Source organism: Homo sapiens, chromosome 5 (assembly GCF_000001405.40).
Source record: "Homo sapiens chromosome 5, GRCh38.p14 Primary Assembly".
Classification (NCBI taxonomy): Eukaryota; Metazoa; Chordata; class Mammalia; order Primates; family Hominidae; genus Homo; species Homo sapiens.
In genome coordinates, this window is record NC_000005.10 from 83,491,441 (window position 1) to 83,505,199 (window position 13,759).

General features: G+C 36.5%; 1 protein-coding gene across 4 annotated transcripts in view; it reads left to right on the plus strand.

Moving 5' to 3' along the window:
• VCAN (versican) overlaps positions 1-13,759 on the plus strand; it is a 110,559-nt gene that overhangs the window by 19,697 nt on the left and 77,103 nt on the right. For all 4 annotated transcript variants that reach the window (NM_004385.5, NM_001164098.2, NM_001164097.2 and 1 more), the window contains exons 4-5: positions 2,106-2,280; positions 2,364-2,491. In NM_004385.5, coding sequence (NP_004376.2) covers positions 2,106-2,280; positions 2,364-2,491 — 303 coding nt within the window. The remainder of the gene's footprint in view (positions 1-2,105; positions 2,281-2,363; positions 2,492-13,759) is intronic.

A 13,759-nucleotide genomic window follows, 5' to 3' on the forward strand; every position in this document is an offset into this window, starting at 1 on the left:
TTTTATATTCAAATTCCATTGCTTCCTTCTATAAATCTATTTTTATGTTGTCTAGGCATCCACTAAGTATCCTGGGTTCTTCTAACCTTTTTATCATTATTTTTGTTAGCCTCACTACTGTGATTTCTCTCTCTCTCTCTCTCTTCTGTTTACGTATCACTTTTTAAAATCCCCAAAGGAGTTTAACAACTTCTTACCATTTTTCATCATTAAAGAATTAGCAATGGATTTGCCCCTTGCCCCTCTGAAACAATGAAAATCCTCCACTTAATCTCCTTAGCTCCATGGGGTCTTCAAATTATTCCAGCAACTGCAGATACTTATACAGATTGAAGTTCCCTGCCTTGGTCGAGGAGGCCTCTTTGTGCCCCTTTACTGCCAATCTTCAGTGCACATGGAAGATTTTTAATTACCAAGAAGACTATTTGAAGCTTTGATCAACATTAAACTAATCTAAATCTATTCAAATTCTTGCTTAAGCCTTAGAGATCATTTTAAGCTATCTCTTATATTCACCAGATAGCACCATATATATTTTCTGGCAATTTTAGAGAGGTTCTATAAAGGTACAAATTGGCGTTTGATTTTTTTTTTTGGCAAAATCTCCTATTTGAGTCATAAAATATCAGAAATGAGAAAATGAATGCCAGTTGTCATTGCATCTACTTAGTGCCCGTGCAGGTCTTTTTGCGTTGGCACTGATCTGAGGCACTTATCTATGAGATGGGTAGTCTTTTCCCCTGTAGTCATATTACTACAGTAATATAACTCTGGAAGACAGAGATGATCTAAGGATGAACACATGGGAGACAGTCTTATAACTAGAAGTCAGGCTGCAGAAGATAAACTGTTGTCCATCCCAGGAAATTACTAGGGATAAGAAGAGTGGCACGTATCTTGGAAACCACAGTTTATCCCAAATAACAACAACAACAAAGTGTTCTTAAATGGGATGACTCTTAATAAAATCTCATTCATAAGACCCAGTTGCCTCAATTTCTATTTTTCAGTGACTTCTCTGGCATATTAGTTCAATCCACTTTGATGTCTTGCAGAAATGAGTCATCATATTTACCCCAGCTAAAAATGGAGAGACTCTTGTTGACATGGCAAGAGAGGATCCAGAGCTCCACCCCCTTGCTTGCTCTATCCTTATCCCTTTGAAAATTTCTTGAGCCCTGGAGCACAGTTCAAAACCACTAGTTTATACCACCCCTAAAATACAACAAAGTGGAATTTGAGGCAAGTATCAGGAGCTTCTACTAGGAAGAATTTGAGAATTTATTTCAGGCTTTCTTTGGATAAAAATTATACATGTTATCTGTCATAGCAGAGACCCTACGTTATGCTGGTCAGGTAAAGAATATGATAAACATTTGAATGGTACATGGTGGTCTACTCAACATTTTAAAATCCTTTACCTAATTTGACCTTCACACCAATCAAGTAACATACATATTTTTAGTTCCACCTTATGGGACAGGAAATTAAAGCTCAGAGAAACTGACTTGTATAAAAGTAAGGAGTAAATTAGGGATTGGAACAAGTCTTCTCACTCATAAATAGTCCAGTGTCTTTTCCACTCTAGTACATTGTCTCTGAAGGTAAATATCTCATTGTTTTACATTTGGAAGAAGTGGTGTTAGTGAATATTTTTATGAGACAGGTGAGTGTTTCATGCATAAATATTGGGTTGACCCCGGATAAAGTCCTGAAGTAGAAGTTGATCTTGTGGTCCCCTTAGGTCTTTGTATCTTCTGCAGAATCTACTCCCTTTAGGTATCTGGTGTTCCCATGATTGCGTGAATACTGCCTGCAATCAGGACAACTATTGGGATTCAGTGACTTAAATCTCTTCCTTGATCTAGGAGATCCCCTAGGAAATTTTCTGGTGGAGCAGAATGGGATGTCTAGATGAATGGCATTTTTGGAGCCCCTCAAATCAACATGATTTTGCATAATGCTGCATGAAGTAAAAGTAAATAATTATTATGATATTATTACTATGTATCCAACTAAGTTGATACATTGCTCCAATGAGAAATTTTGCACAGTGCAGTGGGAGATTTGAACAGGCTGGCAATTGTTTGCTGTTGTTTTTGCAGGGGTTGTGTTTCACTACAGGGCGGCAACCAGCAGGTACACACTGAATTTTGAGGCTGCTCAGAAGGCTTGTTTGGACGTTGGGGCAGTCATAGCAACTCCAGAGCAGCTCTTTGCTGCCTATGAAGATGGATTTGAGCAGTGTGACGCAGGCTGGCTGGCTGATCAGACTGTCAGGTAAGAGGTCTGGGGGCCACAGGCTTCATTATTAACTTGAGAGTGAGAAGAAAGTGCCACTAACTAGCCATTTATTTCCCCAGATATCCCATCCGGGCTCCCAGAGTAGGCTGTTATGGAGATAAGATGGGAAAGGCAGGAGTCAGGACTTATGGATTCCGTTCTCCCCAGGAAACTTACGATGTGTATTGTTATGTGGATCATCTGGATGGTAAGATGTTTGAGTTTCTATATCTTCGTATGAACTGAGAAAACTGAGGGAAGACCAGAAGTTCATTGGAATAGAGCAAGTCTTCGTGCTTGTTTGGATTCCAAACGGTGGCATTTTGTTTATACGACTGTATGATTTTGTGGTAAAATAAGCCGAAATTAAAGTGGAAAGGCAAGGAGGAGTGTGTAAATGGTTATGCAGGTTAGAAATGTCTTCAGTTAATGGCAGGTTTTCTTACAGTCATGCTGCTCTTGGACTGTTTCCAATACACTTTTAGATCATTGAGAATAGAAAGCTGTAAGGGTGGTACCTATTCTGGTGAGAGCATAAGATAAAAATCATGTGATGACAATCCACTGTGAATCCAAGTACTGATAAACACCCCAGAGCTAACTAAATAACTCCATAAACTAGCCCAGCAGGAATTTTCAAGTTTGACTTCCTGTTTATTTTGTTACACTAATATTCAGAGCAATCCTTCCTTCATTCAACCAGTCAATACGTTAAACCAGTTAACACATTAAAAATCACCTACTGTGATTTTTGTAGGTACTCTGCTGGTTGTTAGAGATATGAAATCAGTTAAGATATAGCCCTTCCTTTCAAGTCGCTTACAGTCTGATTTCAGCACTGTCATTTCTCCTTTGCCTGAGTTAGAGATTCTTAAAGACAAATTTGAGTTCAATAGTACCGACATTATCTAAAGAGCATGGTGCAGCTTTATTATAAAGGCACAGGGAGGTGGGCACAGTGGCTCACGCCTGTAGTCCCAGCACTTTGGGAGAGCTAGGTGGGAAGATAGCTTCAGTTCAGGAGTTTGAGACCAGCCTGGGTAACGTGGTGAAACCATGTCTCTACATAATGCCAAAACTTAGCTAGGTGTTGTGGCATATGCCTGTAGTCACAGTTACTTAGGAAGTGAGAGAAGTGTGGGGGTGGGGGGTCCTGAGGTGGGAGGATTACATGAGCCAGGGTGTGGAGGCTGTAGCGAGCTGAGGAGATTGCGCCACAGCACTCCAGCCTAGGTGACAGAGTGAGATCTTGTCTCAACAAATACATAAATATAAGTAAAATAAAGGCACATGGAATAGAAGTTTCTACAACTTTTGAAATGGATTTTCATTTGTATTAACAGCTATTATTAGAATCCTAAAGTATAGATAATAGTGTTAAATTAAATTATACTTTTAATTTTGAGTAGGTGCATATAAAAAGAATGATCTGAATTTTCTTATGTTTAAAATGAGGAGGCTGGACTAGATAATTTCTATGGTCTCTTTCAACATTAAAATTCTGTGATTCCCTGATTCTGTGAATTGAATAAGCAATCTTAGAGCCCGAAAGCTAGAATATAAGCAGCTTATATTTTCCTAATGCCTTGACTAAATTTGCATCGGAAGGCCTGCTTTCAAAAAGGGTGCTTAGGTGTGGTTCTCTAGTATCTTAGCATTCTTATTTTCACTATCACTGAAGATTGCCAGATGTATTTTCTAAACCAAAAGTGCAGATGTGAGCAAATTTTATTTTTGTATATAGGAAAAGGGAAAACATAACATCCAAGCTATGGTTGAAATACATAAAACTAGAGCTTTTCTCTTGCCTTTATTTTAATTGATTTAAAAAATAGAAGAGGAGATGGTTGGTAGGAGAATCTGATTAAATAAACTAGGAAATAAATTGGATTATTGCTATTTTGGTAAGGTGGGAATTTGTATCACTATTGTTTTAATTTAGTGTAATATCTACAAGGGTGATAGTTATAAACAATATCTGAAATGCTAGTAATACTAGAAATGATCCAGAGGTAGCTTTTGCAAAAGTATATGTAAGATCTAATTAACCTAAAAGATCTTTACCAAATATTATTTAAATGGTGGGCTTTCGTGATTCAAATATGAATAAGCATCCCAAGCCAGATTCCTTGGTGGAAAGACAGGCTTATGTACCCATGAAGCCACCAGCCAGAGAGCCCTAGAGACCCCCCGTGTGTTTGTTTTTGAGTTTACTCTGATAGAGCTACTATCAGCTCTTAGCTCTCTAAGGCTCTAGACTGCCCAAATTCAAAATTATTTTTTCAAGCCCAGGGAGGGATTTTATAGAAGTCCCAGAAATTTCAGGGCCTCTGCAAGTACTGTTTGAAGAATTTTTGACAAGTCTTAGTGGTGGGAGTCCTTCCAGGGATTTCCTAGCCACACTGTCTTCATTGAACGATGGCTCCCCACAGTCTGCTCATAGTATCATAACCAGTGTTCAGGAACTGGACTCTGTCAGAAGAGGAGCTCTGAGGATGTATGCATATCTCCCATGACGAGGGATTTACTAGTCTTATAGACGTCCTCTCCCACTTCCATAAACACAATCACTTCTAAAGAAGCCAGTTTGTGTCCCAATGTAACCCAACTGTATTTTATAAAGTTATTTTGGATAAATCTACATACTTGGTGACTGAAAACTTGTAATGTGGAATATAGCATAACTTTACTTAGGCTCTTTATACCAAATCAACAGAATTTTCATCTTTTTGTTTTAATATGTAAAAATTGGAAGAGAAATATAAAAGAGTCAGTTCAAATATTAATTCAAGCACTGGCTGAAATCAGTGTCAGCAAAGTAACAAGGCATTTATTTGTTTCATAGAAGAAACTTGACAATTCTGGAGGATATTCAGCATGTTTACAATAACACTGTTCCTGACATTTTTTTCCTCCTTGTTTATTGGCTCTTGGACTAAGTATCAAATCTTTGGACACTGTTCTTTTCTTTCTTGGCTTGAAAGTGAGCAGGAATGGGGGTGAAAGGTAACTTTTATGGCTGATGAGGTAAGAGGAAGATCACAAAATCATTCTTGTAAGGCTTCTCTCATTTCTTAACTGAAGTATATGTCTTCCCTTTTGAAGTACAGACCATGGCTAATGAGTGAATTAATAAAAAATTCTTGTGGAAAGTTGACTACATAAAATTACGTCTGGTATTTCAATTGTCACGTTGATAAAAGATTATTTGAAGGTGAGTCAAGATTCCTTGTAAGAGGCATTGCTAAATTCATGAGTCAAATAATTCCCACCTATATTTTATTATATTTGGGGGAGTCAAGTGTGTGTGTATGAGAAATGGTGGGGACAGTAAAAGATTTGGTATATTCAGAATGCATGTGATGGAACACACACATAGGAGTTATGAACCAAGGTGCAATTAATTTAGATCAGAAGCCATATATTCCAGATGGTCTGATGAAAAAGCCAATTAAGTATAAAATGAAAACTTGCTCAAAAAGGCAATTAATTTTCCGTTTTAATTTAATTATTTATTGTGAAAGATATATAGTTGACAGTATGTTGACCTGTTTTTTTCTCCTTTCTTGTTTTATAATGTCATATCTTCCTGACATATGTGTTTCTCTATAAAATTTGAATAATTGCACTAAATTAAATCCTGCTAGTTTTGGGAGAAAAATCTAGTAGGGTTCTTTTTCTAAGGTGGTGATTATAACAGTTATGCATATTCAATGAATATTCAATTCTGCTTTTCAAAATAACCTATTAAGTTTTAAAGAGTAATTACATTAGCTATATTCACTAGTAAACATTTCAATATCAGCTCGTGTTCTTAGAAATGGTCTGGAAATTATGATGGCTTATTAGAGATGATTCAATCAGTAATAGAATGCTATTATTAAGAAATTAATGGAATTAAAATTTTAAAATGGGAATCTAGAAATTAAGATCCACAAAATAATCCTTATTAGGAATTTTAATCTTTGTTTCCCAGTAAGACAGATTTGGAAAACATTGGGAGGGTTTTAAGGTAGAGTTGAGATGATTAAATGGCTCAAGAAATTAGGTAAAGGATCGGAATTATTTAAGAACGAAATTAATAGACTGACTATTTATTTGGTTTCCTGATGGTAGCAGATACTTTAAAAAATAAGTTTCTTTTTTAGGCATTTAATTTATCCTGCAGATAAATTGGAGGATTGCAGATGAGGTCCTATTACCTTCTTTCATTGTTGACCCACTTAGTTTCCTTGCAAATGAGTCAATACTTCCAGTCTTGTCCCCAGACCTGACAAATGGTTGGTTCAGGAGCTTCTCTCCCCTGTGACATAGGCCTATCCTCTTATGGCCTGCATTTTCTATGTAGCCCTGCCTTTTGGTATTTACTTCACCTGGGTTAACTACTACCCTACTATTCCAATTCTCTGTTTTTTTACACAAGCTTCCAGCACTTTGACAGGCCTATACTGTGGGCACTCTCTTTCATCTCATATTCCCTCCTGAAGACCTAGGTGATTCTTCTCATCTTTACCATCTCTGAACCTTGAATGTATGACTATAATTACCCTCTTGCAAATATTTGCTTATACTTCTTTCTCTCCTACTAAACTATGGATTGGGGGAAAGAAGGAAACATACAAATTCATTTTTGTATGCCCAATATGTCCTTAGCATATAGTAGGTGCTCCATAGGTAGAGCTGAATAAATGAGTGAATTAATGAATTAACTTCTAAACCATTAATGCCTCCCTACTCACCTTGATTTACAATTGCTTTCTGGATAGTTTCACACTTCTCCAGGATCCATCAGTATACTATCTGCTTCCTGATTTTTTTATTGCTTTAATTTTCTTATTAGTTTGTTTAATTTCATTTTTGTTCTCTTGTACATAACTTGTAAGCCAAAAGTCTTGTGGGACATATGGGGCATGAAAGAATACCAAAAGAACAAATACGTGAACAATGAAGATGTTAATTTCTAGTTTTGCATGTTTAGCTCCTGAATTCTTTTCTGAATTTCATACCCATATTTCTAGTTTGTGAATCACTTTTGAGTTTCATTTTTGGTTTTGGTTGTCACAAATAGTCCCCATCACTTTAAGAGTCCTTCAGGGGATCTGTTTTACTACCATCAAAACAGTTAAACACCATTGCCATGTAATTCTCCTACTTAACGTTGTGTGTTGGTTTTGTTGGCTTCTTCCACAAGCACATACTCTGCCTGGTCTTCAAAACCTATACCTGCTCTACTGCAATCTATTCACCCTTCATTCCCACACTCTTCAATGTGACCCCACACACGTGCATCTCGCCCTGCACAGACCCTTTGCTTGCTCCTGCTTGCAAGTCTGCTCTGTTCCTCTCAGGGAACACACACCCTTCATCTCTTCAACATTGTGATTTTGCCTGTGCTTGAAGACTTACTGCTTCCAGGATCCCCCTTTTGGCTATTGCAGCTCACACTGAAATTTCTTGACTCTGAACTTCTACTTTACTTAGAGTTAGTTCCATGTGATTTATTGCTTAATTGTTTTCTGGTTTCTTTGTGTTCATAAAATATAAAATGTTATATGTTTGTTTTATTTCAGCAAAATTATTGTAAGCTCCTAGTAGAGATAAGACCATAAACTTCTATATGTTTCCCAACTGCAATCAAGAGCCTGTTCCAATTGCAGACACGTAATAGTTATCCAATAAATAGTTGGTGGTAATTATAGTATTTTTCCAACCTTTGTCTCTTCTGGAAACTGCCTTCCACCACCACCTTTCCATTTATCTATAACACTTGAAAAAATGCTTTGCTTTATTTACCAAATTCAAAAAGATCTACTTTTTACCATTATTTAATCACCATGATACTATTTTTTCCTCTTTGTATTTCTCCTCTCACTCTTTTCTCCTCTCACTCTTTTCTTTGATGTCTCTTAGAAATTACTCCTTCCCAGAGATACTCCTTTCTGGCCTCTCATGGTAAATTATTTTCCTTGCCTTCCACTCCTTCCCAGCAAATTGTCCTCTCTGGGATTGCTTTTCTTGTATTAATACCTATTCATCAATTATAGGTTATTATTTTTACTGTTTCTTGGTGTCAGAGTCCAGGATGGCTTTGTCACCTCTGTGACTTATCTAATGCCTCCATATCATTCTTGTGCCTCACCTAGAACCAAAAACAACTTTTCCATTTTTGTTACTTTATGAGCTCCTTTAGATATGAAAATCTAAACATTTAGATAAACATCATCAAGTAGGTCTTAGAGCAGGGTTAGTTCTAGCTTTTTAAAGGTTTTGGTTGGACCAAAATCAGATATCGCATCTGGAGATTGTGTAATTTCTTTCCTATAGATTCTCAGATTGCCTATTAATTTTAATGAGATTTACAGTATGTAATCTACAGAATACTTCACTGATGAAGGTTATTTAAGAATTAGTGATTTGCGTCCTTACTGGGCTTATTCAGTTAAAAAGCCACATATCAGCTTGAAGAGCCTCTTGCACACTATGATTCCGCCGATGGTTAAAGTAGTGATTCTTGATTTCAGAATCTCTTCACATTTGTTGCAGTTGGCCCTAGAAGATGCTAAAAACTTTTTAATTATCCGTAGCTTCCTATATAGACTTTGGAGATTAACACACCTTGCTTGGAGTTGCTTCTGTGTACAGTGTTTGAACAGTCTACCTAAGAGCCAATGAGGAAAGCAATCAGGCACAGCATGGTGGGAGCACCTCTGGAAGATGATGTCCTTATACAGTGTAGTGACTCCAGTAAGATTGAGTGTGAGGTAGTTTCATGAGTAGAATGAGGAAGGAAAACATCTACTGTGTGGTGGGAGTATTATTTAACTTAAATCTTATGAAACCTTTGTCAGGCACTTTTTAAAAGAAACCTCACTTTTGCCTATAAGAAAACTGAGGCACAGACAGGTTAAGTGATTAGATATGCCTTTTTTCTTCTTCTACTGCCATAAACTCACAGGGCCACTAAAGATTCCCCAGTAGAGCAGCAGGCAGTCTTGCAAGCCAAGAAGATAAAAAGTACCCTCAAAGCTCCCTCAAATCTCTGATATCTCATTAGAAAAAATCATAATTCTTATTTGAGCAATGATTGCATTACAGATTGGATTACAATGATTGGGATTGCTGGGTCAAATGGTAACTACTTTGAACTTTTTGAGGAAATGCTAGGCTGTTTTTCAATGTGGCTGTACCATTTTACATTCTCATCAGCAGTGTATTAGGGTCCTGATTCCTCCACAGTCTTGTCAACACTTGCTATTATCTGACCTTTTGTGTAGCCATCTTAATGAGTGTAAAGTAGTATCTCTGTGGTTTTGAATTGCATTTCTCTGATGGCTAATGAGCTCCAACATCTTTTTATGTGCTTGCTAGTTATTTATCAATCTTCTTGGTAGAACTGTCTACTCTGAAACTTTGCCCACTTATAATTGTGTTGTCTTTACTATTAAATTTTGAGTGCTCTTTGTATATTCTAGATTTGCATGTCTTCTCATGTAAATGATTTACAAATAGTTTCTCCCATTCAGTGAGTTGTCTTTTTACTTTCTTGATAAGGCCCTTTGAAGCACAAAAGTGTTTAATTTAGATGAAAAGTCCAATTTGTCTATTTTTAAAATTTTTGTGCTTTTGGTGTCATATCTAAGAAAACATTGCCAAATCCCCAGTCATGAAGATTTATCTCTGTGTTTTAGTCTAAGAGATTTATAAGTTTTAACTCTTTTGCTTTTATTTTGATCCATTTGGAGTTAGCTTTTGTATATGGTGTGAGGTTGGAGTCCAAATTCATTCTTTTGGATGTGGTCCCAGCACCATTTGTTGAAAAGATAATTATTTCTCCATTTAATGACCTTGGCACCCTGTTGAAAATCAATTGACCATAGGTAGATGCATTTATTTCTAGACTCTCAATTATATTCCATTGATCTGTATGTCTATCTTTATGCCAGTACCACAATGTCTTTATTACAATTGCTTTGTAGTAAATTTTGAAAATGGAAAGTGTGAGGCTTCCAACTGTGTTCTTCTTTTTCAAAATTGTTTTAGTATTCTGGGTTTCTTGAGTTCCCACATGAATTTTAAAATTGGCTTGTCAATTTCTGCAAAGAAGCCAGCTAGGATTCTGATATAGATTGCAATGAATCTCTAGATCAACTTGGGGTATATTGCCCTCTTAGAAATATTATGTCTTCTGATCTGTGAACCTGAGATGTCTTTCTGCTATTTTTTAGATATTCTTTCATTTTATTCAACAATATTTTGTTCTTTTCAGAGTATAAGTTTTGCAGTTCTTTTGTTAAATTTACTTGTAAATATTTTACTATTTTTGATGCAAATGCAAATGTAATTTTCTTAATTTTTTTGATTGTTTATTACAAGTGTACAGAAATGCAATTGATTTTTATATATAGGTCTTGTATCTTGCAACCTTGCTGAACTTGCCTCTTCGTTCTAATTGTTTTTTAGTGGATTCCTTAGGATTTTCTTTATACACTCTCTTTCATTTTATAATCTTACTTTACATAAGTAGAACTGTCTTGACATAAACTCCTTGAAGCATGTGACAGTCATTTGCTTTAAGGTTTTCATGTCAGGGTCTCCTGGAGTTCTGAATCAAAAGAGCTTCTTTGGAAATACAGTCACCATTTACCTCCCAGCTGTGAAAAGCCAAAAAAACCCAAACTAGGCTGATACTCCTGTGTTGACCTGAGGTCATTCTGTGCCTGTCAAACCAAATAACACATTCAATCTTTTGTATATTTTGAAGACTCAGAAACCCAGAAATTTTTAGAACCTCTTTCTCACTCTAATTAAAACCTACTGCTCTGTCAATGGGAAAGAATGAGTCCAAACATTCTGAAAACCGTACAAATGTGTTTACATTTTAGTGGGGGCTTCCTGCATCTTTAACCTCTTTAAATTGACATAGGTAAGATCTTGTGTAATAACACATTTGCAAATATGCAGATGCATTTTCAAATGAATATAATCTGATTTAGAGAATATTAACTGACTATCATAGTAGACTATGGATAATACTCTAATAATTAATTACAGGTTAACATTTTTAAAACTCAAAGCATATGCTTTAAGTTTATGCTTTAAGCCACGTTATGTTCTACTTCAGCCTAATACAAGGGAGAAATTTGGAGGGGGCCCTCCTAGCTTTCTAGTCTCATTATTCCCAAATTAGAAACATTACCAGCCTAACACTAACTCTGGGGTCTAAAATGAAGTTATTTTGGCAGCCCTAGAGTTTTCTTGTCATTGATAACTGAAGATTGGCCTTTGTGCAGGTTAAATAATCAAATCTTAGAGGAAATTGACATGCTTTTAAATTATCTACAAATATTAGCCCTTAAAAGATTATATAGCAGTATATATTATGTTAACCAATCCATGTGCAGCTGATGGACTTTGTGATTCAGTGGATAATAAGCATTAGTTTTTCCTGCTTTGATCTTATGTATATCCATACAGAAAAACAAAAAAACGATGGAGAGAGAGATAGAGAGAGAGAGAGAAAAGAAAAAGAAAGTGTTGAAAAAGCTTAAAAGTCCAACATTTCAAAGCTAATCATTTTGTTGAATTGTTGCTATCACCTTGATACTTGATATATTCTGTTAGTGATTTTATCGTATGGGTATTTAGAAGCTCATTTCATGTAACTACTTCCAGCTTACTCATCCCATTTACTTTTGCATACATTTATTACTTATACACCATTTTGACCCAGATAGCAAGGTAATGTGAAAACATTTACAAATGTTGAACTTTTGTAGTAAAATAACAACAACAACAAGAACAAAAAACCAAAAGAGCAGGGAGTGCTGCTCCCAAATGGACAAAGGAAATTATGAATTAGTTTATAAGAACTGATTTTCAGACCAAACAGTGCAGTATAGTAGAGCTATAAGCACTAATGAACAGAAGAAACATAATCATGTATCACATCACCCAGCAAATATACTCTGCTACAAAACTGGTAAGATCTCAGCTTTGACTGCCACAGAGAGCAGCCCATCTGCTGCAGTCAGGAAAGAATTGTGTAATTATCTGTGATTAAGTCCTCCTTTCACCTTGGTGATTGCAAGAATTGTCAGTGGGGGAGAAATATCCTATCCTAGTTTTACTCTAGACTCAGGCTCTTTAATCATATTGTTGAGTGACTCCTGAGTATAAACTCTAGCTTTTGAACACTTTGGGTCATTTTTAATGTTTTGATTTGTTTTCATCATTGCTTGCCATTTCAGTATGTGTCATGTTTGAGTCTGCCAAGAAGCAGCTTTTCCACTTAGCAAACAGAATTGTGAAAAAAATATACATGGTCCACTTTCTAGGGAGTCTTGTAGCAGCTAGTGATCAAATTAGAGTATTTTTTCCCTTAATTTCTGATGTTAATTCCCACAATAAATTTAGTTTGTGGAATGTCATTAAAGTCTTACAACATGTCTCCCGTTTCTTCTAGAGCATCCCTGGAAAGTTGAAGTAACAGGAATATGTCAAAGCTATAAGTATTTAATTTGAAATTTTGGAAAACTATGGCTTAAGATACTGCATATGTTTTCCATATGAATATGCAAATTATCCTATTCATGAAAGGCTCTGTTGTATATCATATTTTACATGTACACTAATCTGAATGTATATGTATATACCTTGATGAATTTTTTTTTTTTTTTTTTGAGACGGAGTCTCTCTGTTGCCCAGGCTGGAGTTCAGTGGCATGATCTCAGCTCACTGCAACCTCTGCCTCCTGGGTTCAAGCGATCCTCCTGCCTCAGATCCCCAGTAGCTGGGATTACAGGCATGCACCACCATGCCTGGCTAATTTTTGTATTTTTAGTAAACATGGGGTTTCACCATGTTGGCCAGTCTGGTCTCAAACTCCTGACCTCAGATGATCCACCTGCCTTGTCCTCCCAAAGTTCTAGGATTACAGGCATGAGCCACTGCGCCCAGCCTGATGAATTCTTATTATAACAATTTAACTTACTGTAAACCTGACATCTTAAGTAATGCATCACTTTGTTTATATAAAATATATTTGGTATATTTCCTGATGTATTAGTCCATTTTCATGCTGCTGATAAAGACATACCCAAGACTGGGAAGAAAAAGAGGTTTAATTGGACTTACAGTTCCACGTGGCTGGGGAGGCCTCAGAATCGTGGCGGGAGGTGAAGGGGACTACTTAGATGGTGGCAGCAAGAAAAAATGAGGAAGAAGCAAAAGCAGAAACCCCTGATAAACCCATTAGATCTCATGAGACTTATTAACTATTATGAGAATAGCATGGGGAAGACCAACCCCCATGATTCCATTACCTCCCCCTGGGTCCCTCCCACAACACATGGGAATTCTGCGAGATACAGTTCAAGTTGAGATTTGGGTGGGGACACAGCCAAACCATATTGTTCTGCCCCTGGCCCCTCCAAATCTCATGTCCTCACATTTCAAAACCAATCATGCCTTCCCAACA